The sequence below is a fragment of the Homo sapiens genome, chromosome 6 (assembly GCF_000001405.40).
Source record: "Homo sapiens chromosome 6, GRCh38.p14 Primary Assembly".
In the NCBI taxonomy this organism is placed as follows: Eukaryota; Metazoa; Chordata; class Mammalia; order Primates; family Hominidae; genus Homo; species Homo sapiens.
Window position 1 is genome coordinate 25,419,888 of NC_000006.12, and position 24,741 is coordinate 25,444,628.

General features: G+C 38.7%; 1 protein-coding gene, 1 long non-coding RNA gene and 1 pseudogene across 22 annotated transcripts in view; 2 read left to right on the forward strand and 1 right to left on the reverse strand.

The window, feature by feature from the left end:
- CARMIL1 (capping protein regulator and myosin 1 linker 1) overlaps positions 1-24,741 on the forward strand; it is a 341,157-nt gene that overhangs the window by 140,514 nt on the left and 175,902 nt on the right. For 17 of the 20 annotated variants that reach the window (XM_017011008.2, XM_017011009.2, XM_017011015.2 and 14 more), the window contains exons 3-5: positions 227-277; positions 6,614-6,673; positions 15,596-15,717. In XM_017011008.2, the coding sequence (XP_016866497.1) occupies positions 227-277; positions 6,614-6,673; positions 15,596-15,717 (233 nt within the window). The remainder of the gene's footprint in view (positions 1-226; positions 278-6,613; positions 6,674-15,595; positions 15,718-24,741) is intronic. The other 3 variants (XM_047418996.1, XM_047418998.1, XM_047418999.1) reach the window with 1 other exon arrangement.
- Positions 1-24,741, reverse strand: part of LOC124901281 (uncharacterized) — a 124,485-nt gene that overhangs the window by 92,182 nt on the left and 7,562 nt on the right. The window contains exon 1 of one of the 2 annotated variants that reach the window (XR_007059512.1): positions 415-1,405. This is a non-coding gene — a long non-coding RNA (uncharacterized LOC124901281). Of the gene's footprint in view, positions 1-414; positions 1,406-24,741 lie in introns of those variants that run through there. The other variant, XR_007059511.1, reaches the window with a different exon arrangement.
- On the forward strand, positions 15,393-15,514 carry LOC124901546 (uncharacterized; annotated as a pseudogene).

The window sequence follows — 24,741 nt, forward strand, 5'->3', positions numbered from 1 at the left end:
TTTCACCTGTGATTTGTTCTAAAAGAACTTTGATACAGGGACTCTTTAAGTTAAAACTAATTCTGAGACCAAGAAGCTGTCCCAGCTCGTAATTCTTCTTACATGACAGGAGCCAAGCCATGTGGCCTTCTGAGGTTTCAGTATCATTAAAGTCCCGTGGAAACACCAAAGCCCACTGGCCCCACTTTTTGGTGCTTATACTGATGCTGCTGCTTCTGTCTTACAGGTCCTTACATCATGCCGAGCCTTCCTTGTAACAGCGCGAATCCCCACCAAGGTAAGTGTTGATGAAGTCCTTCCTTCTGCACTCACACTCACTCATACCCACTCATGCATAGTCACTCATGCATTCTTACATGTGTGCACACATATTCCTTCATATACTGCAACACAACACACACACACCTCACTTACATAGACTTTTGATTTAAGCTGTGTTCAGATTTCTCTTAGCACATTCAAGTTTTCCTTCCTTCTTCCCAGAAGCACCTAAAGGCTGTAATGAGAAACATATTTTTTACTCCTTTGTTCCCTCTCTTTGTGTAAAGGCATCCCAAGAAAATCAGTGAAGGATTTTGTGCTCTATGTCCCTAAGGCTCCATGTCCCAGTTATTTTTCTCTCTCAACTGGGGCTTGATTTCCACTTTATTCAAGTCTACTTCTTATTTCCTTCGGTGATCCGAAGTACTGGCAGATTTTTCTAAGACTTCAGACATGTGGGGAGTAACTTTCATAACTCCAAAGAATACACTACCAGAAATGTAACCATCTCAGCTGTTCTCCGTCTACTCTGATGTTGCCTGTAAGAAATAACAAGATGCCACTCTGTTCTTTAAAAGAGATATATAACATTTTTCATAAGATGTCCTTCATTACTTGGTGCAGAATTCGAACTGATCGTTTGTGGATTAATCATAATAATGACTTATTTTGTTTATGTTAACTAAAAGGAGTTTATCATTTTTATATGATATTGACTGAATGGTCATAGGAAATTGAGATCTTTTTCCTAAAAAGGTGATAACATTTACTGGAGTGTTGTTTTAGTAGATAACTTGATCCTTAACAGAATCTCATGAGAGCTATAAGTCTTATTATTATCCCCTTTATTGATGAGAAAACTGAGGCCCAAGGAGGTTCAGTAACTTGACCAAGGTTAAACTTCCACTAGTATGTGGCACATGTGTGATTCTAATCAAGGGAGGCTGGCTGCAAAGCCTCTGCTTCTGTTATTGCTAGAATCTAATAAGTTATTTACTAAGTATGTAAGGATACAGTCTCATTTAATTCTCACAGTAACATTGTAGATGAGTGATTAGAAAATAGCTAAAAGACAGACACTTCTCAAAAGAAGACATTTATGCAGCCAAAAAACACATGAAAAAATGCTCACCATCACTGGCCATCAGAGAAATGCAAATCAAAACCACAATGAGATACCATCTCACACCAGTTAGAATGGCAATCATTAAAAAGTCAGGAAACAACAGGTGCTGGAGAGGATGTGGAGAAATAGGAGCACTTTTACACTGTTGGTGGGACTGTAAACTAGTTCAACCACTGTGGAAGTCAGTGTGGTGATTCCTCAGGGATCTAGAACTAGAAATACCATTTGACCCAGCCATCGCATTACTGGGTATATACCCAAAGGACTATAAATCATGCTGCTATAAAGACAAATGCACACGTATGTTTATTGCGGCACTATTCACAATAGCAAAGACTTGGAACCAACCCAAATGTCCAACAATGATAGACTGGATTAAGAAAATGTGGCACATATACACCATGGAATACTACGCAGCCATAAAAGTGAGTTCATGTCCTTTGTAGGGACATGGATGAAATTGGAAATCATCATTCTCAGTAAACTATCACAAGGACAAAAAACCAAACACCGCATGTTCTCACTCATAGGTGGGAATTGAACAATGAGAACAGATGGACACAGGAAGGGGAACATCACACTCTGGGGACTGTTGTGGGGTGGGGGGAGGGGGGGAGGGATAGCATTAGGAGATATACCTAATGTAAATGACGAGTTAATGGGTGCAGCACACCAACATGGCACATGTATACATATGTAACTAACCTGCACATTGTGCACATGTACCCTAAAACTTAAAGTATAATAATAATAAAATAAAATAATAAAAAAGAAAATAGCTAAAAGATGTGAAGTTGGCTAGTCTAAAGATTCAAAAGTAATGAATGGGAGAAAGAGAAATTAGACTCACCATGTCCTACTTATTTAGACTTTTTACTGAGCTGAACTGCTTCCCCTACCTGCATATCCAGGAAAATGGGTAAGGTCTGGTAGATGCTTTCAGCCTTATCGTGCTATGATGTTTGGGCCGCAGTGTTATTTGCTCATTAGTCCTTTCTTGTTTCTTAAAATTTAACATTTAGCCACTGTTTTGTAAATTCTGACTTAGGTGCCAAGTTATGGCGCTATAATGTTATTGGTACAAATGAAATGGATCTTTTGGGACTTGCAGTCTCATGATTTGCACTGACTTTTGGGAAGATGCCAATGCAATGTTTGCTAGTTATAGGCTTAGGATATCTGTGGCCTTTCTTTTTTTTTTCCTCCCGATCATACAAATGTTAACTTTTATAAAGTTTCTCCAAGAAATGAGACTTTTGGCCCAAGCCCCTTTAGATAATATAAAATGAGCCTATATGTTTATTATGTTTTATAAATAAATTAGGTCAATGAAGTTGGACTAAACTATACGTTAAAATACCTGAAGGCATGATATGAGGACTTTAATTAGACATTATCCCACTGGTAAGATATTAATTACAGAAGGAAATTTTATGGGCTTAGGAAAATATTCAAGCACCCTATTGAATAGAAGATCCCTAAAAAATATGCATACCCTAACATGTTGTGACACAGTGGAAGTGTGTTACCTCTTGTGAAGTCACCTGCCTGCCTTCTGCTGGATGACTTTATATGACTTTATTCTGCCCCCTCCTTGCTCTGCCCCTGAGGAAAGGCTTGGCTCCGTCCTGTGATGTATATAATGTTTCACAGCCAGCCTGGCCAGGGTAGTTTGAACATTGGTTCTGATTTCTGATATTGTCAGCATCACAAATAAAGAAAGGCAGATTTTCTTCCAAAGTGATCTGCTTGCAGCTTTGCCGCTTTCCCCCTTAGAGAAGGCTGGTTTTCATGTGCCACCTTAAGTCTTGACTGAGAAGTAAAGCCAGTGTGAATGATACTAATTTTCTGGAGAAATAAGTATATTTATAACATTAGTGTAAAGCACTGACTATGACATAGATGTCTTTTCTTTGGAAGCTGATTAATTAAACATCTTTCTTTTGTCATTTTATTGTGAAATATACAACATATATAGTCAAATGCACAAAACGGACATGTGCATCTCAGTAATTAACTACGAAGCAAACACTTCTGCAGTCACACCCAGATAAAGAAATAGAACTGTGCCATCACCCCAGAAGGCCCTAACTTTTCTTTCGGGGGTTGGGTAATTATGAGATCAAAGAAGGGTTTGCGGAGAGGGCCAGTTGAAAAATCACCCATCAGCCGGGCAAATAAAGGGTTTTATACTGGCCAAAAGGCTTAGCAGTTTGGAAGACCACAGTGCATTTGGGGAGCTGGAGTGTGGGCTGAGGATTGTGGAGGAGGCGGTGGTGGGAGGGAAACAGCTCAGAAAGACGGACAGGGCCAAGGCCTGGCTGAGGAGCTGAAGCATAGACTGCTGCCTGGGGAAGAGCGGGAGTTACTGAAGAACAGGCTCCTTATCACTTTGAGATCTGCTCTGTTGCTTGTGGGATGGGCACTGTCTTGTGAGGGTTTGGGTGTGAGGTGAGCAAGAGATTGGTGGAAAAGCTATTGACAGTCTGGGTTAAGTTTTTCCTCTTATCTAATAATTCACTAATTTCTGTGGTGATATTTAATTAGTGTAATTTCTAACTGAAAAATGTCCTCAAGTCTTCATGCAGCCTACATCTGCCTCAGCTTCTTAACTGGTCTTCCTGCCTCTTCCTGCCCATAAATCTAATCCAGTGACATTCTTTAAACTGTCTTTGGGTGGGTTGGAGTAGAGTGGATGATGGGTTGCGGGGACCAGGAGCAAAGGCCTAATAAAAATAGCCATAGATGAGATAGGAGAGAATGATTTGAACCTTGCTGTGACGTCTTTCAGTATGTTTTAGAGACTTCCCTCCCCACTATTAATGATAACCTGGGACTTCAACTAATCACAGACTCAGCCAGTCATCCTTGTTGATTACTAATACTGCAGGATCTGCTCCTTTTAGTTTCTTCCTTGTCCTAGTTCTTTTAACACCTCGATGCCTTTGCGAATTCTTTTTCTTCTGCCTGAATTTCCCTCTACACTCCTTGTTTGCTTGAGGAACTTGAAGTCATTCTTCAGGGCCTAGATGAAATGTCACCACTCTTTCCTGGCTCCCCAGCACTTTGTTGTTCTACTCCAGGGACAGCACTCAGGTACAGTAGACGCATCTTAATTGACCTCCAACTAATCTTGCTGAGCCAAATTGACCAAAGGTGGCCATTCCTATCCCTGATGATGCTGACTGATGCTAGCTGCATTTTCATAGCTGTTAGCATGTAAGAGAGGGTACCTGCTCACACCTATTCACACCTGCTACCACCCACTGAATGAGATGCTCATTGAGGGTCATGGGTTTATTCCTAAACCTGTTTATAGCAGTTATAGTAGCAAATGTTTTTAATGCAACATTTTAGTGAAAGATATTTTATGTAGCAATAAAATATGAGTGCAAAAGAAGAGTGTCTGTGACATTGAATATTGATGAAAGTGAATTGCTTAAATTGCTGTTTTAAAGACTAGACAACTTTATAGTTGGGGGAGGGGTGGTGAGGAGCATAATAATCTAGAAAACGTCTGCTGTCATATTACTTTGCAAGTATTTTGCAGTTCTGCATTTTTAAAGAGACTTAAATTGGAAGCTGGAAGCCATACTTGTGAGTATGGCTTATGCAGAAAGGCCACTGGAGGGCCAGCCAGTGGGCTTAACTCAAAGAAAAACTTTGGCACAGTATTAAAGGGTAGTGAATGAATATTTATTCATAAACTTTAAATTAAAATAATGAAGGAAGGTATGTATACTTTTTAGAAAATAATTTCCTGCTTTAAATGACTTTTCAAAACCAAATTATGTATAGATCTTGATAATGATAGGCAAGAAAACTTCTACTCTAATTTAATGCTTTTAAACATGTGCCTTAAATGTTGCATTTAGCTCTTGGAGGACAAAACAAACGTCTCAGTACTCTTTGTATTTCCAATACTGGCACATAGTGGGCTTTTCATAAGTGTTTGTCAGTTGACCAAGTGAATAATGAATGAATGAGTTCTCTTTCTACTTCCAGAGCTCATCAGTATACTTCATGTTGTTTAACTGGAGATTCAGGGGTTTTCTGCCCAGTATTTACTTCCCTCCCCACTATTAATAATAACTTCATCAGTATACTTTGAGATGTTTAACTGGAGATTCAGCGTTTTTCTGCTCTAAAATTTATTCTACCAACGTATCATGGTACAACATACCACCAGGGAGCAGAACTAAATCTCTTGTGGGTTTGGTTCTGGATGTGTTTTTTTATCATTATATTTCTCGGTTTAATGTGGGAGGGTAAAAAAATTGATCCAACTTGGTCCCCCACTGTCTCTAGCTCCATGCTCTGTGATTATTTGCTGAAATGGGGAAAATCCGGGAAGAAAGATTAGTGGCTGTTTATCAGGAAAAACAGGTAGAGAGTGAAAGACTGGGGATATTTTAAAGAAAAAGAAACTGCTGATTACAGGAGAAGAGAGGGGCACTTGTTAAAATAGAGAGGAAACAAATCATCATTTATTTACATGCAGAGAGAGAGGACTTTTGTTTAACTCTGTGTATTTCATTTAAGCACAACTTAAAATTCCTAAATATTGTATTCGTGTAAATATGGATTTAATTAGGATAAGTATAGATTTATTTCTCTAAATCCATTCAAACTGTGCATTTTTATGGAAGACAGTAGAAGGACGGCTGACTCTGGTAAGTGGTCAGAGTGTAACAAATAGCTGAAGGTTTAGAAAGAAGGGAAAAACAACATTGACTTTATCCTGATAGGACTTTCTGAAGCAAAATTTTGAAGTGAAAAAGGGAAAAAAGTGTTTAGATGGTTCCTTCCATACATTCATTTCTCAATGAATAAATAGTGGTTAAGTGCAAAAACTTATTAGGTTCGTGCCAAAGTAATTGCGTTTTTTGCTATTACTTTTAATGGCAAAAACTGTGATTGCTTTTGCACCAACTTCTACTATTGTGTTTGTCTCTGGATATAATTTTAAAAGTTGTGCATGCAGCTTCCTTTCTTTTCTTTTTTAGTAAAGTAACACCTTTTCTGAAATTTGATAAATCATGTTTCTATCTTGTTGAATGAATGGAGATATTAAACCAGCCCGCCTTCAGAAGATGCCCAGTGTCTTATTTGCTCTTGGGCTGTTTCTAGTTGTAGGATTTTTTTTTTTTTTTTTACCTTAAGTTATATGTTTTTTTAAAACCCTCATTGCAGGTCTTTTCTTTCCTCCTTTCCCCTCAATTGCAGCTCGAGTTAACCTTCAGCTACTTGGAGATTCATGGCGTCGTTTGCAGCAAGTCAGCTCAGGTGAGTGTGAAAAATGGATCACTGCAAGATCATGATCTTTCTTGAATTCTTGAAACCCTAAAATGTTCCTTGAGACAATGTGGATAAACAAGGTTAGGGAAGATGAAATTTTTGAAATGAGAGACTCAACACTGGCTGTGTGGACAGGAGTTGGGAATTCATTCTGATAAGGAAAACACATTCTCCATAACTCAGTTTGTGAAGAACAAATTAGCTCTTATGATAACCGGCAGTGTAAACGTGAGAGTACTGTTCCTTATAGAGTTTGTACAACATGCTTTAACACTAAAATTGCATAGCAATTGTATAGTACTATATAAGGGCTTAGTGGGAATATAGTGATAAATGAATTTTTTGGATTTATTAAAATGCTGATTTAAAAAAATAGCTTTATTGGGCTATAACTAACTGCAGTAAACTAAAGTGTACAATTTGATAAGTGTTGACATATGTATGACTCTGTCTTCGCCCTCTTCCCCACCTGCAGTCAATCTGCAGGTATCTACTTTTGGTTGCTGTAGTTTGCATTTTAAAAATTTTATATGAATGATGTCATACAATGTATACTTCTTCCTGTCTGCCTTCTTTCAGTCAGTTTAATTATTATTATTTTAATTTTTAATTTTATTTTTAGTTCTGGGGTACATGTGCAGGGTGTGCCAGTTTGTTACCCAGGTAAATGTGTGCCATGGTGGTTTGCTGCACCTATCCATCCATCACCTAGGTATTAAGCCCAGCACGCATTAGCTATTTTTCTTAATACTCTCCCTCCCCCAACCCCAGTTTAATTATTTTGAGATTGATCTACTTTGTTGCATGTCTCAATAGTTTATTCTTTTTGTTGCTGAGTAGTGTTTAATTGTGTGGCTATATTACAGTTCGTTTATCCATTCGCCTGATGTGAGGGACATTTGGGTTGTTTCCCATCTTGGCTATGATGAATAAAGCTGCTATGAATATTTAAGTACAAGTTTTTGATTGGACCTGTACTTTCATTTCCCATGTGTAATTACCTAGGGGTAGAATGGCTGAATTGTATAGTAGCTATATGTTTAACTTTTTGAGAAACCGTCACACTTTTCCACAGTGGTTTTACTATTTTACATTGTCCCCAGCAGCATATGAGAGTTGTAGTCCCTCCACATCCTCCCCAACACTGGTATAGTCAGTCTTTTTAATGTTAGCCATTCAACAAGTATGTAGTGCTTTTTCATTGTGGTTTTAATTTGCATTTCCCTAATGACAGAACATGTGGAGTATCTTTTTATCTGTTTATTTGCCATCACGTATTTCCTTCTGCCATTACAGAAATTGGGCTGTTTGTTTTCTTATTGAATTTTGAGTTTTTAAAAAAATACATTCTGGATACAAAGCCTTTATCAGATATTTTCTCTCAGTCTGGTGGCTTGTCTTTTCATTCCCTTAACAGTGTCTTTCAAAGAGCAGAAGTTTTAAATGTTGATGAAGTCCAATTTATCAATGTTTTCTTTTATGGATTGTGCTTTTAGTATCATATTGAATAAATCTTTGCTTAACCCAAGGTCACAGAATGTTCTATATCTTCCAGAAGTTTTACAGCTTTAGGTTACACATGTAGGCCTATGATCCATTTTGAAGTAATTTTTGAATATAAAGCTATGTATAGATCAAAATTTTTTTTTAGTTTGTCTTTTTTTTCTCATATGTGTATTATATTCACTTGTTCCAGTAACATTTGTTTGAAAGACTATTGTTTCCTCACTGAGCTTGTTTTCACCTTTGTTGAAATTCTGTAGTCCGTTTAAGTGTGAATCTATTTCTGGACTCTGAATCCCGTCTCCTTGCTACTATCTTCATGCCACTCTTATACTCTCTTTATTATTGTGGCTTGTTTACAACAAAATTTGAAATCAGATAGTGTTAGTCCTCCAACGTTTTTCTTCTTTTTCAAAATTGTTCTAGTGATTCTAGGTCCTTTGCAATTCCGTATGAATTTTAGAAACACCTCAGTTTCTATAAAAAGCTTGCTGGAATTTTGGCTGATATTACAATGAATTTTTAAATCACTTTGGGGAAGAGCTGACATCTTAGTAATGTACAGTCTTCGGACCTAAGAAAACTATATATTTCTCCATTTGTTTAGGTCTTTTTCAGTTTTTCTGAGTGTATTTTGTTGTAGCTTTCAGCGTACTGGTCTTACATATGTCTAAATTCATTCCTAAGTGTTTAATATTTTTTGATGCTACTATAAATTGTGTTATTTTTTACATTTCAGTTTTCAGTTGTCTCTTGCTGGTATTAGAAATATAATTGATTTTTGCATATTGACCTTATATCCTGTAACCTGCTATCTTGTTCTACTCACGTATTAGTTCTAGTAGCTTTTAAAAATAGACTTCATCATTTTTTACAAAGATGATGTCATTTGTGAATATGGATGGGTACCTTTTATTTTTAACATGGGTGCCTTTTATTTCTTTGTCTAGTCTTATTGCTATTGGGAGATATTCCTCCATTGGTGGAGCAATTCCTACATATTTTGCTGGGTATGCCAGGAATTTAGGGCTGTGACTTCTCTTTGCCCAGGCTATTTCTCAGGGTTGATAGCAATGAGCATCTTGTGGGATGGTGGAATAGTTCCATTGAATAAAGAACAGGCTTGCTTACTTCTTACCATGAAAACAGTAGATTTCCAATGTCCAAGGGTTCCTTTCTTGTCAGCAGCCTACTGTGTGTGCAAGCATCCATCTGAAGCACCATATGGGACTTTGAGGGCAGGGGAATCTATCCAAATGTGGTACACATGCCTTTTGTTGTACCATGAATCATAAAATCCTATGTCTCTGACCCAGGCGTCTCCTGTCTTCTGCAGCATCAATGAAACATCTAATAGGCTAACTTACTGGCCTACAAGTAGGGTAAAAACTCAGAACTTGGCAATTGTTCTGGTACTTATAAGACAGTGCTGAATGGAAGTGGCAAGAGCAAATCTTCTTGTCTTTTTCCTAGTCTTTGAGGGAACGCATTCATTCTTTCACCATTAAGTGTGATGTTAGCTGTAGGTTTTTAAAATAGATGCCCTTTATCTGGTTTAAGAAGTTTCTTTCTATTTTTAGTTTGTTCAGAGTTTTAATCAGGAATTAGTGTTGGATTTTGGCAAATGTTTTTTCTCTGTCTGTTGAGATTATTGTGTGGTTTTCTTTCTTTTTTTAAGCTTCTTAAAATGATTAGTTATATTGATTAATTTTTTGAATATCAAATATTTGATTCCTGGGATAAGTCTCATTTGGCCATGATATATAATTATTATTATATATATATTTTTGAGACGGAGTCTCACTCTGTCACCAGGCTGGAGTGCAGTGGCACAATCTTGGCTCATTGCAACCTCTGCCTCCCGGGTTCAAATGATTCTCTTGCCTCAGCCTCCCGAATAGCTGGGACTACAAGCACGCGTCATGACATCCAGCTAATTTTTGTATTTTTAGTAGATATGGGGTTTCACCATGTTGGCCAGGATGGTCTCAATCTCCTGACCTTGTGATTCGCCTGCCTTAGCCTCCCAAAGTGTTGGGATTACAGGCCTGAGCCATGATATATTATTTTTTTAATGTTGAATTCCAAATATTAAAATTTTGTGAAGAGTGTTTTGCATTGATGTTTGTGGGAGTTATTGGTTTGTCTTTTTTTTTTTTTTTAACATTTTTGGCTGGCTTCTCTATTAGAGAATCATAGATTTATAGAATGATTCTATATATTTCTCCTATATAGAGGAGGAAGTAGTTCCTTCTCTTAAATTTTTTCTGTTGAGATGGTATTAATTTTTGTCTTAAATGTTTACTTAAATTTACTGGTGAAATTATTTGGGCCTTGAGTTTTCTCTTTGAGAAGGTTTTTTTTTTTTTTTCCAGACAGGGTCTCGCACTGTTGCTCAGGCAGGAGTGCAGGGGTGCAATCTCAGCTCATGGCAACCTTCGCTTCTCGGGACCAAGCGATCCTCTCACCTCATCCTCCCAAGTAGCTGGGACTACAGGCATGCACCACCATGCCTGGCTAATTTGTGTATTTTTTCCTAGAGACAGGGTTTCTCTGCATTGCCCAGGCTCGACTCGAACTTCTGAGCTCAAGCGATCCACCTCCCTCAGCCTCCCAAAGTACTGGGATTACAGGCATGAGCCACTGTGCCCAACCTGGGAAGGTTTTAAATTGCAAATTCTATTAATATTCCTTAATGATATAGATCCATTTATATTTCTTTTCTTGAATGAGCTTTGGTAGTTTGTGTCTTTTAAGAAATTTGTTTATTTTATGTAAGTTGTTGAATTTATTGGAATAAAGTTGTTAATAATATCCACTTGTTATACTTCTAATATCTGTAGAGTGTCATTCCCAATATTGGTAATTTGGTTATCTCTCTCTTTTTCCATTTCAGTCAGGTTAGAGGTCTACCAATTTTTTTTTATCTTTTCAAACAACTTTTTTTTTATTATTATACTTTAAGTTTTAGGGTACATGTGCACAATGTGCAGGTTAGTTACATATGTATACATGTGCCATGCTGGTGCGCTGCACCCACTAACTCGTCATTTAACAACTTTCTTTTTGGTTCCATTGGTTTTCTTTATTGATTTCATTGATTTTCTATTTCCTATTTCATCGACTTTTGCTCTGATCTTTGTTCTTTCCTTCTACTTTTTGTTTTAGCTTTTAAAACTACAAAGAAAGTGTGTGTGTGTGTGTGTGTGTGTTTGTGTGTATGTGGAGTTTGTTCATAATGTTCTTTAAAATTGTCAAAATTGTCACTATGTTTTTTGAGATTTCATACAAACTCTTGGAACTTTTCCACAGTTCATCTTAGAGCAATGTTTTATTTTATGTGTTTATCATTTTCCAGAAACTGGAGTTTGAAAGAAAAATCGCAGCAACATATGTTTGCCCAAATGGTCAAACATATGCAGGAGTGAATGATCACTCGTGAATGATGACATAATGACATAACAAGGGTCTTCTCGGTGGTCTTAATTCAGGAATGTTTATGTTTATGATTTGAGAGCTGGGATGGGAGCAGAAGGGCACTAGCGAAATGTTAATGCCAAGGTTATGTTCGAAATATGATTTCACTGTGCTATTTAATTATGAGAAAGAGTGTTGATGCAGCAAGACTAATTTTCCCATGTGGCTGCCAAAATTGGTCTTACCACACTTGTAGTCTTGCCCCTTTCAATATGCGTACCATTCAGAGGAACTGTGTATAAAGCCGTCTGTCTCAGCCCCTGTCAGTGTCAGTACCAAATGAATAGCTTTACAACAGTGCTTCAATTTAACTTTGACCCACAGTATGGACCTTTGAGATGAAATTATAGTGAACATTGGCACTGCTTCTGTAAATGGCCTAGCAATTCAGAGACTGGCAATACTAGTAACCTAATGGTATTCAAAATTTGCTGTGTTTTGGAACTGCCTGTGATTGTTTTTAAAAATATACTTTCAGCAGTACCCTTCTCTCTGTCACATCATACTTCCTCATTCTCCTCAAACACACACAATATATACTTAGGACAGTTACAGTTCTATACATCCGCGGTGGACGTTTGTTTTTTTAACAAGTGCACCATTTGATTCTGTTGCATTCCAAAGGTTAAGAACCAGTGAGCTGTGTAACCAGTGACCTCTAGTTTTGATTTTCTTTTATATAAAATCATGAGGATGGGAATATCTACCAGTGGCACTCAGAATCTAGCCTTGATTAGGAATTCTTTTGTAATGTTCTCTGGGATTTATTTTTTTCTCCTTGCTGTTCTTTATTATGATTTAATTATAGTTCATAAACTCAGATAAAATTCCTGAGACTTACCTACTGCATTGTGTTTAAGAGTGAGTGATTGCTCTATTGAGTTAGCGAAATGTGACTTTTACTATTGCTATTTTCCCCTTTCTTCAGAAATGTTGGAAACCTTTATCTTATTTTACCAGTCTCTATGCCACATTGTTTTCTGGTGCTCGAGTTTTATTGCCTTCATGGTATTTAAGTTGAGGCCAGCAGTTATACAGTTTTATAGTTATACAATTTTTGCACCTTTTTTTGTACAACTGAATACCTGCTATGATTTTTTCTTGAATTATAGGGTTAATTGTTTGCTATGTCACAGAATGATATTGATAAGCCATCTACCACACATGGATGGATAAGCCATCCACCACCACATATTTCTGACAGAGGAGAGAAAAACAACTCACAGGTCTGTTAGCTGGGGATTAGTAAAACGTGCTGCCCTTGAAGTTTAGTCAGGTTGTTCGACCTTAAAAAAAGGCGGTGGAGTGGGGTGGGAAATTTGAATCATACATAAGTTACTATGGCTTATATCTCTATTATTTTAAATGTATATTAGATATCATGGGTTATATCCTGCTAGGTGTCTAAAGAAAATGTGTTTCAAACATTCTGTTCCTCCCCAGCTGAAGTGGGAGGGAAAAGAGTATTTGATAGGAAGCTCTTTTTTTCTTTTTTGATGAGGTGACTTATTGTGTTGGTTTCACCTCCATCACTTTGTTGCAGTCTTTACATTATGCAAAGGTGGTGACATCTTACACAGGGTTGTGTGAGTGCTTGCTTGTAAGGTTGAATTGAAGGCCTCATTTCTTCCTCCACCTGTCACCATTTTTTCTTCTCTGTCATTCTATTCAATCCTGTGCAATTAAAGATGATTAGGTGTTAAGATTAAGTGGAATTAGAATAAGCTAATTACTAATTACTCGCACCCAAACTGTGAACTGAATAGATGTGCTAGATGTGAAGAATGTAAAAGTACCCCTGTAGTGAAAAATATAATTACCCATGGTGGGAAGGTTGGGAGTAGGGTGCAGAGCACAGACACAATGGCACATCAAAAGTGTCTGGCTTTTAAAAACATGCATATGCACAGATATGTGCATATGAAAAATATGAGCCTAATTTCACTAAGTAGATTTAGTCTTACTTAAAACATCTTATAGACTACTGGGTTGTTTAGCCTCCAGGTACAATAATGCTTGATGTCTTTTGCTAGAGGAATACCTCTTGAACCAGCTTTTAGAAGACAAATGGAGCCTTTGCCTAGAGAATTTTAAAGGCTTTGCCTTTCATTTCTTGAGGAATGCACTGAAAAATAGGAATTTTAATTTTTTTATGTACAACTAACTAGCACAGAAGTGGTATTTATCAAATACTCGTTGACAGATTCTTCTAGAGGTATTTATGAAAAAGTAACATCTGAAACACTTACATTATTTATATCCTTTTCTTTGATCTCATCATTTTGACATACCTTGCGTTACTTTTCATTTTGACATACATATGTTGAAATACTTACATTATTATTATTTTCAGTTTGGGCTAATTTCAGGAAAATGTAAGGCAAAATCTAAAAACTGCATTGCACATTATAAAGTGTTCTCCATCATATTTTTGTATAGATAAAGTAAGAACAGGAAGTAAACGTGTGCAGATATTTTGAAGAAGTGATAATCTAAGAGGATTGCATTTTATGGGAATTTTTTGGGGGGTAGGAAGATGGGGTTTTGCTATGTTGCCTGGGCTGGTCTTGAACTCCTAGGCTCAAGCAATCGTCCTGCCTCAGCCTCCTGAGTTTACGGGGTTATAGGCATGCACCACCACACCCAGTTTACATGAATGTTTTTGAGATTAAAGAAAATGGCATCTTTTATTTTTAGGTAGTTGAAGTTCTTCTTATTTGTAATGTGTACATCTTCAGCTTCTTGCCCCTTTTGTGACCGACCTGTCCTCCTTTTCACAAGTTAGTTTGTACTTATTTAGAGGACTAGCTGTCTCAGTCTCAACATTTTTTGACATGTTTTGGACATCTCCAGCAATTAATTATAGGAATGAGTCTTAGTCTAACACTAAACCTAACACCAAACATTTTATTAACGTGTTACCTTAATATTCCAAGTATCCCCTCTTCTTAGAAAGCTCAAAACCATTTTTTTTTTTTTTTTTTTTTTTTTAGACGGAGTCTTGCTCTGTCATCAGGCTGGAGTGCAGTGGCACGATCTCGGCTCCCTGCAACCTCCGCCTCCTGGGTTCAAGCGAATCTCGTGCCTCAGCCTCCTGAGTAGCTGGGATTACATGGGATTACAGGCATGCATTACCACACCTAGCTAATTTTTGTATTTTTGTATTTTTTTTTCTTTTTAGTAGAGACAGGGTTTCACCATGTTGGCCAGGATGGTCTCAATCTCTTGACCTTGTGATCCGCCTGCCTTGGCCTCCCAAAGTGCTGGGATTACAGGCATGAGCCACTGTGCCCTGCCGATCGAAACTTTTAAAAGCATTTCTCTTTTGCTCCCAAGCAAAAGGTTTTAACATTTTATTTAAGCATATGATAAGGTTTCTTGTCTTTAAAATGTGTGTGTGTGTATTTTAAAGGTAGCTTTTAGATTGCCTATGGGTACCCACAGAAAGATATAGCCATACTTACACTACATAGCAGGGATATAAAAACTTTGTAAGACTGCAGCTCAGGACAAAATCTTGGTAAAAGGAGAAGTCGTGTTTGAATGTGGGAGTTCAGTCTCTATCATATGGGAGTCTATTTGAATCTGCCAGCTTGGCCCTTGGAAACACTTACTTCAGTTTCTAGACGTTTCTGACAATACTTCCACCCTCTACCCAAACACTTCTTTGAGTCTTAAATTAAGTGCATTATTTTAAGAAAGTGCTTCTTTAAAAGCTAATATTGTGATCCTTTTGTAGTTCATGAGGGTGATGGTTGGGTGTTCACGCACGTATGTGAGATGTGCTACCCTCGAACCTTGTTAAAGAAAAAAAAAGCTAATATTGTATTAGTATATATCTGTGTGACTATGTAGTTTACAATATTTAAAATAATTAAAAACGGAAGGAATTGGACTCATTCTTAAGAAGTGTCCCACCGGTTCTTGCAGATGATTGTGGAAACTGAGAAGTGCAGCATTTCCATGAAGATGGCGTCACCCGAGGACGTGAGTGAGGTGCTGGCTCACATAGGCACCTGCCTGAGGAAGATATTTCCTGGCCTCTCTCCAGTGTGAGTTTCCCTGGGCAGGGTGAGGAGAGCAAAGAACCTGTTCTTCCTCAAAACGGCAAATACAACAATGCCTTCTTTTTACCCCTTCACTTAGTTCCTCTCTCAGACTTCCTTCTCCTCTTAAATATTAAATATCAAAACCCTTATCAAAACCCTTGTGTTTTGGTCTGAGGATTTCTACAGGGCTGTGTCTTATTCTTTAAAGAGCTTGAGTGATGAAAGGATTTGGCAGTCCTTTAACTTCTCATAAGACTAAAACAGTAACCTTTTTAATATAACTCCAGATTTACAGGAGTGTGAATATTACTCACAGCTTATTACCAGAGTGCCAGGGGCTGCATGCTTTGTATAGTGGCACCAAGTATAATGCAGATGAAGAGAGAGACAGTGCTTTATTTTCTTTGCTTTTTTATTTTCAGGAACAAGAAACCTAAAAAAATTGAATGTAAAAATCCCTTTTTTTCATTGTCCTGTTAGTGTTCTGAAATACCCATTAGGCATATTAGTAAATTTCGTTCATCCATGCCCTCATATTTTTTGTTAAGCTTTTAAAGTCAGGATTATGGGCTTGGATACCTGAGTTTGTAGTTGGGGAGTGTGTGGGTTGTTGGGATGGAGGAATTAGATTGACTGAGGTGAAAGGCAAAGAGATGCTTATGTCTGAAAGCTCCCTAAAATAATAGGTATAGTCAAAATACCCTCCTGATAGAAGAACAGGATTCACAGATGGCAGAAAATTTCCCTCCCATTGCTCTCCCAGCAGGCAGAAGTGTATACAGGGAAGGGCTGGAGGCCCCACATAGACATGTGTAGCATGCTAGCTGTGTTCCTTGCGTGGTGGAGGTGGGAGGGGGATTTTGGGAACAGTTGCCCTTCATAAAACATGCTCCTCCTGCAATGCCTTGCCTGCAAGTTGAGAGACAAAGCAGCAGGAAAACCTAGGCTTCTAGTCATTTAAACCTTATGGATGACTAAAAGTGGCTCAGTGGGGACAGACACTCCCTTTCAAGCTCTTTGGCCTTAAGAGGCCTGCTCAGTTCCCTTCACAGCCCTTCGCAGGGCTCTCTCCCTTCCCCCCATGGTGGGAGGTGGACACACCAGAATGGAAGGCTTGCCCTGTGCTTGCTGGTTGTTCACCTTGGGCTCCTTCCTCCCTGAAGCTTAAGTCTTGTGGTTCTCTGATTATCAGGGTAGCTGGTTGCCGGGGGAGCTAAGTGTCCCTGGCCTCCATTTCAGTGGAGTGGAGAGGGTGAGCTGGGGCTGCCCTCTGACTCCTGCTTGGCTAGAATTTCAGGTATGAGGTGTCTTCAAGGCAAGCTTTCCTGGTCTCTAATCACACACACAGGCGGTTCTGGAGAAGAGGTGTGGGCAGCAGTGGGTGGTTGGATGAGGTAAGAAGTGAATCCATGGTGGCAATGGGAATTGCCAAGAAGCAAAACCTTAGGAATGGGTTCGACATCATCCTTAAAGCCACCAGAGAACTAGCTGGGGTAATCATGAGTTAACAATAGCTACAACCCATCTTCCTTAAACTACATTTCAGTAATGCGACTTTGTACATGTGTTTCTTTATAATGTGCTCGCTTTCCTTCTAAATTAATACTGATGAAATAAAAAAATTATTAAGCACCGCCTTACTTGGCAAGAGCTTATAATACCCTGAACTTTAAAGACACTTCAGAGCAATATCTAGAATCTCTATTTTCTTTAAAAGGCAGCCTTATTTGTTTAGTATTGTAGGATTTTCAGAGAAACTAACCATTTTTATTTTTGGTTTGGATTCTTCCATTTTTTTCTTCCCAGAGAACATTGAGTAAGAATAGTATTTTCACTTATAGCTTCCATTTAACTTCTTGTTAAAATCTTCGGGCAATTATTAAACCAGTATTAATCACCTCTGTTTCTAGGAAGAAAGTTCCCATGTATATGTTGATTTCTAAATCTGTGACCTCTGCTGTACCCAGGTCTTCGTCCCCACCTACCAGCTGCCCAATAGGGCATCTCTACAAGGACAGCCCCAGGCACCTCACACTCAGTATGTCCCACACTGGACTCCTCACTTTCCCCCCTAAAAATTGCTTATATTCTGTATTTCTGTCTCAATTAATGGCATTGTTGTTCACATAGTCTCACAAGTTAAAAGCTGAGCCGTGCTCATCTCTTGGTCCTTACTGTCATATTCAATTGGTTGCTAAGCTTTTAAAAATATTATCTTAATATCTCGTGGTCTGGTTCTTTCTCCTTGTTTTCATTTCCACTGCCATAGTCACTTTCTCCCTTGCATCTTTCTAGTTAGTCTCCCTGCTTCTAGTTCTTCTCTTGCAAGTGATCCTTCATACTGTCATCCGAGTTATCTTTTCATAATTCAAACAGTATCTGTTCTTTGCCTAAGCTCTCAAATGGCTGGCTTTCCTGATAAAATGTAAATTGTATAGCCTGACACAGAATACCACTGTTTTCCTGTTCCTGAACACAATCAGGCTCTCTCATATTTTCAGCACCATTATAATAGCTCTAATCCTGACAAATTCCAAAAGATTTAACTCAGGTATCTTCTCATCTGTAAAGAGAGTCTTTATTCATGTTTCCAAAGAACTTTGGATCACTTCCTGCACTAGTACACATCATACTGTGTTGTAAGTGCTTGTTCATACACTTATATATTCCATGACTATTTATTGATTTTCTACTATATGCTAGGCATAGTGCTAAGTGTTGAGGTCCAGCAGTGAACATGGTCCCTGCCCACGTGGAACTTACATTTTAACTTGGGGAAAGAAACCCCCCAAAGAGGGAAATACATAAATCAAGTAACAGTACCTTTGAGTAAGTGCTGTGAGAGAAATAGATGGGACTCGTATAAAGAATAAACTTCTGTCTCCAAAGGCCTCCCTGTGGCCATGATAACTTCAACAGACCTAGGGGAAGAGAAGGCGCCTGCCCTATAAGAGTAGGGCAAAGAATATCATCTTCCCAGGGCTTCTGTTCATGCTATTTCTCTTGCCTAGAAAGGGCTTGGTATCTCTGAGAAACTGAAAGATATCCACTTTGGCTGGGGTATAATGAAGAACAAAGATGGGAAGGGATGAGGAATGATTCAAGAGGGGGCTGGAACCAGCCCTGGTGATGTAGATGTAGTTGATGTAGAGCCTCGTGGGAAAGAGGTTGGGATTTAGTAGTATTTTCCTGGGAAGCCACTGTAACATTTTAGGGGTGGGAGATAAATCTTTAGATAGTTTATGAAAATCTTTTTTTTTTTTTGTCTGCTAAAGAGAATGGACTGGTGGCAGAGCAAGAATAGAAGTAGAAAGCTAATTTGGACACTTGTAGTAATCTAGGCAAGAGATGACTGTGGTCAGGAGAAAGGTAGCAGCATTAGGTATTAAGAGAGAGGGTAGATGTAAGCTTTATTTTGGATGCAGGAGTTGCTGATGGATTAGGTAAGTGTGGGTAAGGGCAGTGAGGAAAGAAAGAGAAGAAAAACAAGGATGGCTCCTCAGAGTCCGGTTTTAATAACTTGGTGACCAATATGACAGCAAGACAGAGAAGGCCTGGGGTAGGTGGGGGACAAGTATTTTCTGGGGGGTGGGATCTGTAGCCATTCTGTTTTAGGCATGTGGAATTTGAGATCTATTTGTCTAGGACCTACAAGACCTCCATAGACCTCTCCTCCAAGCTCCACTAGGTGAGGCTATCAGGTAGGCAGATTTGTGAGGCTGGGGCTTGGAGGAGAGGTCTGGAGTTGGAGCAAAGGTGAGTGCCATTGAGCACAAGATGGTCTTCACTGCATGGCTGTTGATAACATCACCTGGAGAAAGATGTGTAGAGGAGGCATACTTGGAATGAGCTCAACACTTAGAGGTCAGGTAAACTAGGAAGAGCCACAAATGGAGTTGGGTAAGGACTGGCTGTCAAGGTAGGAGGAAAACCAGTGAAAAACCAGGGCCTGGGAAGGAGTGCTGACTCTGCAGAATGATGCTGGGGCTGAATAAGCTGCAGGCAGAGAGGTGTCCAGTGTTGGTGACGTGGATAACATAGGCACCTTGATGAGAGCAGGTCTAGGGGTCTGGTTGGGAGGGCAGACTGCTGTGGTTGAGGGATGAACTCAGAAGTGAGAAAATGGATGTGGCATATGTGGACAACTTCATAGAGAAGATCAGCTATTAAGGGGAACTGACAAATTGGATGTAGCTAGCGCACTCTGAGGGATTACGGGGGATTTCTGTTTGTGTTTAAAATGGGAGATAAAAGCATATGCTTAAACCATATGGCTGTAATGAGGGGAGTGATCAGTAGAAAGAGAGATTTGTTGCTGGAGACTGCCCTAATAAATAAATCAGCAATATCCTTGAGAAAGTGAGAGGCAAAGTACAAAACATACCTGTCTTTCCTTCTAGGCTGGGAGCTGCTTAAACAAAGACCATGTTTTTATTAATCTTAAATCCCTAGTTCTTGGCACATAGTAGGTACTGACTGAGGTTTTGGATGAGCACATACACTTCACACTTAATCCATTTCCAGTACCTTGTTGGGTGATGTACCATGGGGCATAGAGAAGTCAGAAGACAGTGGCCCTGCCTTCAAACCATGAACTCATTAGCTGAGGTAACCTGAAGCAGATGAGACAGGAGATGATTGGGTGTAAGTGGGAGATGAATGAGCACAGGCTGGCTTTGCAGAGGAGATTTACTGCAAACGGATGGAGAAAATTCAGAGGAGAGAGTAGTGAAAGGAAAGGCAATTCACATGAAGAGACCAATTGGAGAGAAGGTGCAGATTATAATTTAGAAAATGCCTTGGCAGAGAGTTAAATTACCTAAATGTATTTGACTTGCATTCCTCTTTTCTACCCAACACACACAGTTAGCTTGTCTCGATAAGCCTAATATTTTGTGGTTTCTATGTTGTGCCTTTACTCTTGAAGTTCCTTAGATTGCATTATATGATTTTGGGAGGGGAAACGTACAATTTTATTGGTATTGGTTGTGTGACTAGAGAGGGTGGAGAAGTTGGTAACCGTATCTTTTCTCCTACATTCCCAGTATGCCTTAAGTCAAAGCTATCAGTCAGGGGAATATTTGTTTATATAAATAATGCACAATAGAACATGCAAAATAAAATATGTTTCCAGTAATGTCATATATTCCACTCATGATAAATTGGAGAATATGAAACTATATTTAGAATCCTTAGACCTTGTATGACTCATTTGTCCCATCAAATTTATTTTCTGAGCCTGTCTTGGGGGTCCTCATCTCCTTCCTTGCTTAGGGTACCTCTGGTGGTGACTGATGAACAGAAAAGGGTCTCATGAGGAGGTATTAGGAACCAGGTGAATCAGGAGGAGTTAGATCCTGGAAAATTCTCAGTTTGGGTAATCAGTTCTTGAATACTCTACGTATGACTCTATATAAATGAACCTATACCTCCAAAGATCTGAATTTCTGATTTTACCCATATACAATTCTGAAAATAACATCCATCATTCAAATCAAATATATGAAAATATACAGCCTGGGCAACATAGTGAGACCTCATTTCTACTAAGAAATTTTAAAAATTAGCTGGGTGTGGTGGTATATGCTTGTATTCCCAACTAATGGGAGGATCACTTGAGCCCAGGAGTTTGAACTTGCAGTGAGCTATGCTCACACCACTACACTCCAGCCTGGGTGACAGAGTAAGACCACATCTCAAAACAAACAAACAAACAAACATATATATATATATATATGTGTGTGTGTGTGTGTGTGTGTGTGTGTGTGTGTCTATGTGTGTGTGTGTGTATGTATATGTAATCAGCTCTTAAGAGAATGCAGGTTGGAAAAAAATGAAGGATTTAAATTAAAATTTGTAGTATTTACATGTCATATTTTCTTCCCATCTCCTGTCTCCAAATATATGTTAGGATATTTCTCTCTCCCTCTCTCCTTCCCTTCTAAAATGACATTTTCTCCTCATTAAATATGGAAAGTTTAATTCAAAATATAGAGAACATCTGTAAAGAAGAAAATTTAAGTTAAATTTAAAAATCACCCCAACTCAAATCACTGTTATCGTGTGTTTTGTTAACATTCCAATCTTTGCTATAGACTGTCCTTGGAGGCCTCACCTCTCAGACAGTGACAACCCTATGGGGTGAACTAGGGAAGGGTTTAGAGCTTCAGTGTTGTCATCTGTTTTCTCAGGGTTGTCTGTGATGGCAGTTCTCTTCAGGAAGTCATTCTGTGTTACGGCCTTCAGCTTTTCTACTATCAAGAACCTTGGCTGGTCTCCAAAACAAAGCTAGATTTTTTTTTTTTAGTATTAAATGATATTGTTAATACAGGTATGAGGTATGAAAATGTGAGGTTATTATGGAGAAAGCTGATGAAATAGGAGTTTATATATAAACAAGAGAAAGGTGGTTGCTGTGTTTTGGTAGTCTCTTCACTTTGCAAAGCAGTAGGTAGCCTTTTGTTGTGGTGTGGCTTGCAGCATTAAAGCATGTGCTATTCTGGAGACAGCTGCCATGTTGCATAGGCTGAGCATTGGAATTGAATTTTAAAGAAATCAATTAGTGTGAGTACATTAAAATAATCTATAATTTTTTTGTGTCAATAGTTTATCATGAGATTTGCATGGACAAAGAGTTGGTGTGTTTGTCATCTAGTTTGCTGTTTCTTGCTGCCACATAGAACTATTTTCTGAGTCTTGTGCAATTTAAATGCATATAATGCAAATGCTGAATCAACGCTAGTGCTGCCTGCATGTGAGAGACATGTCTTGCTTATGTTTTGTTTTAGGATTTTGGTTTACCTTTTATGGTACTTATTGGACAACAAATCCTCTGTCTTTCTGTCTATTTAACAGTGTGTGTGTGTATGTGTGTGTGTGTGTGTATGTGTGTGTGAGCTGGTGCCCGGTAACAAATACACTGATGGGGCTCCTTGCTCTCATTTCACTACAGGCGGAAAACAACTTCTGTAGAGTGGATTCTCCTCTCACTTATTATTTCTGTGCACAGTGTTAGCATAGATAAGAAACAGTTCCTACCTTCTGGAAATTTAGTTTTTACAACTTTATCTCTTATGGAAATGAATGAACTTGTTTCATGAGACTACTTTAGCTCCTGAAATCTCAGTTGAAAAAGAAAAATGAGAACTGTAAAGAAGCGGAGCTACTTGAAAAGGCCCCGCTGGACACGTCTGCAGGTTGGTTCGCACAGATGTCTCCCCTAGCTGCTGCCTCCTTTACTCTCTGATTGATTTCCCCTTAACCCTGAGTGTGAATGTCCACTTTTGTTTTTCGAGTAAAACTGAGGCTCTGGTTTCCAAATCTACCATCAAGATTAATTTATTTCTTTCTGTAGTTGTAGACTGTCAGCTTCCTGTTTTTAATCCCACCAGCTTCCGGTCAAAGATTTTTGCCATATTTTCTTCCTGTGTTTGAGTAGCTGAACCCCCTATGTATCATCAAAAGAGCATGGCCTGCAGTTTTATGGAAACAAAGCAAGAATTTTAAAAGAGAAATGTGATCCTAGATGAGGTCAGACAGAAGTCCAGCTTTCTGTGTCCAAGGTTTACCTAATTGAGTTGAATAATGGCTGTGCCTACTTCTGACAGCCTTGCTGTTTCTTTGCATAATATCTGCTTCATTGTCTTGATGTAGACAGAATATAATGCCATTAAAATGCCAGATGATGGTTTTGAACCAAGATGAACCATTCCAAATTGCCAGATTCTGTAATATCATTTTAATTATAATGTCTTCTCAAACATGGTTACCCCGAAGTATTAAAATAATGGTTCTTAATTACAGGTTCCTTTGGGTAAAATAGACAAAAATCATGCTGCACTTGTAGATCTTGTGCATTTACACGGAATTTGAAGAAATTAATGACATCTGACATGTATTAGGTAAACAGGCATACCTTGGAGGTACTATGGGTTTGGTTCCAGACCATTGCAATAAAGTGAGTCAAGAACTTTTTGGTTTCTCAGTGCATATAAAAGTTACGTTTACTAAAGTATGCAATAGCATTATGTCTAGAAGAATATATATACCTTAAAAATACTTTGTTGCTAAAAAATGCTAACAGTCACCTGAGCCTTCAGTGAATTGTAATGTTTTTGCTGGAGAAGGTTTTGCTTGTGTGGAAGCTGATGGCTGCTGTGACTATCAGGGTGGTGGTTGCTAAGAGTTGGGGTGGCTATGGCAATTTCTTTTTTTTTTTTGAGATGGAGTTTTGCTCTTGTTGCTCAGGCTAGAGTGCAATGGCACGATCTCGGCTCACTGCAACCTCTGCCTCCTGGGTTCAAGCCATTCTCTGGCCTCAGCCTCCGGAGTAGCTGGGATTACAGGCATGCACCACCACGCCCGAATAATTTTGTGTTTTTAGTAGAGATGGGGTTTCTCCATGTTGGTCAGGCTGCTCTCGAACTCCCGACCTCAGGTGATCCGCCTGCCTCAGCCTTCCAAAGTGCTGGGATTACAGGCATGAGCCACTGCGCCTGGACTTACAATTTCTTAAAATAAGACAACAGTGAGGTTTACCACATCAATTGACCCTTTCTTTCATGAGTGATTTCTCTGTGGCATGCAATGCTGTTTGATAGCATTTTACTCACAGTAGAACTTGTTTTAAAATTGGAGTCAATTGTCTTCAGCCCTCCCACTGCTTTATCAGGTAAGTTTACGAAATATTCTAAATCATTTGTTATGACTCAAGGGACATTAAAAAAAAAAGAAAAACAATCTTTTATTGTCATTTCAACCAGGTTCACAGTGTCTTTTTTTTTTAAATTATATTTTAAGTTCTAGGGTACATGTGCACAACATGCAGGTTTGATACAAAGGTATACATGTGCCATGCTGGTTTGCTACACCCATCAACTCATCATTTACATTAGGTATTTCTCCTAATACTATCCCTCCCCCAGCCCCCACCGCCCGACAGGCCCCGGTTTGTGATGTTCCCTGCCCTGTGTCCAAGTGATCTCATTGTTCAATTCCCACCTTTGAGTGAGAAGATGCGGTGTTTGG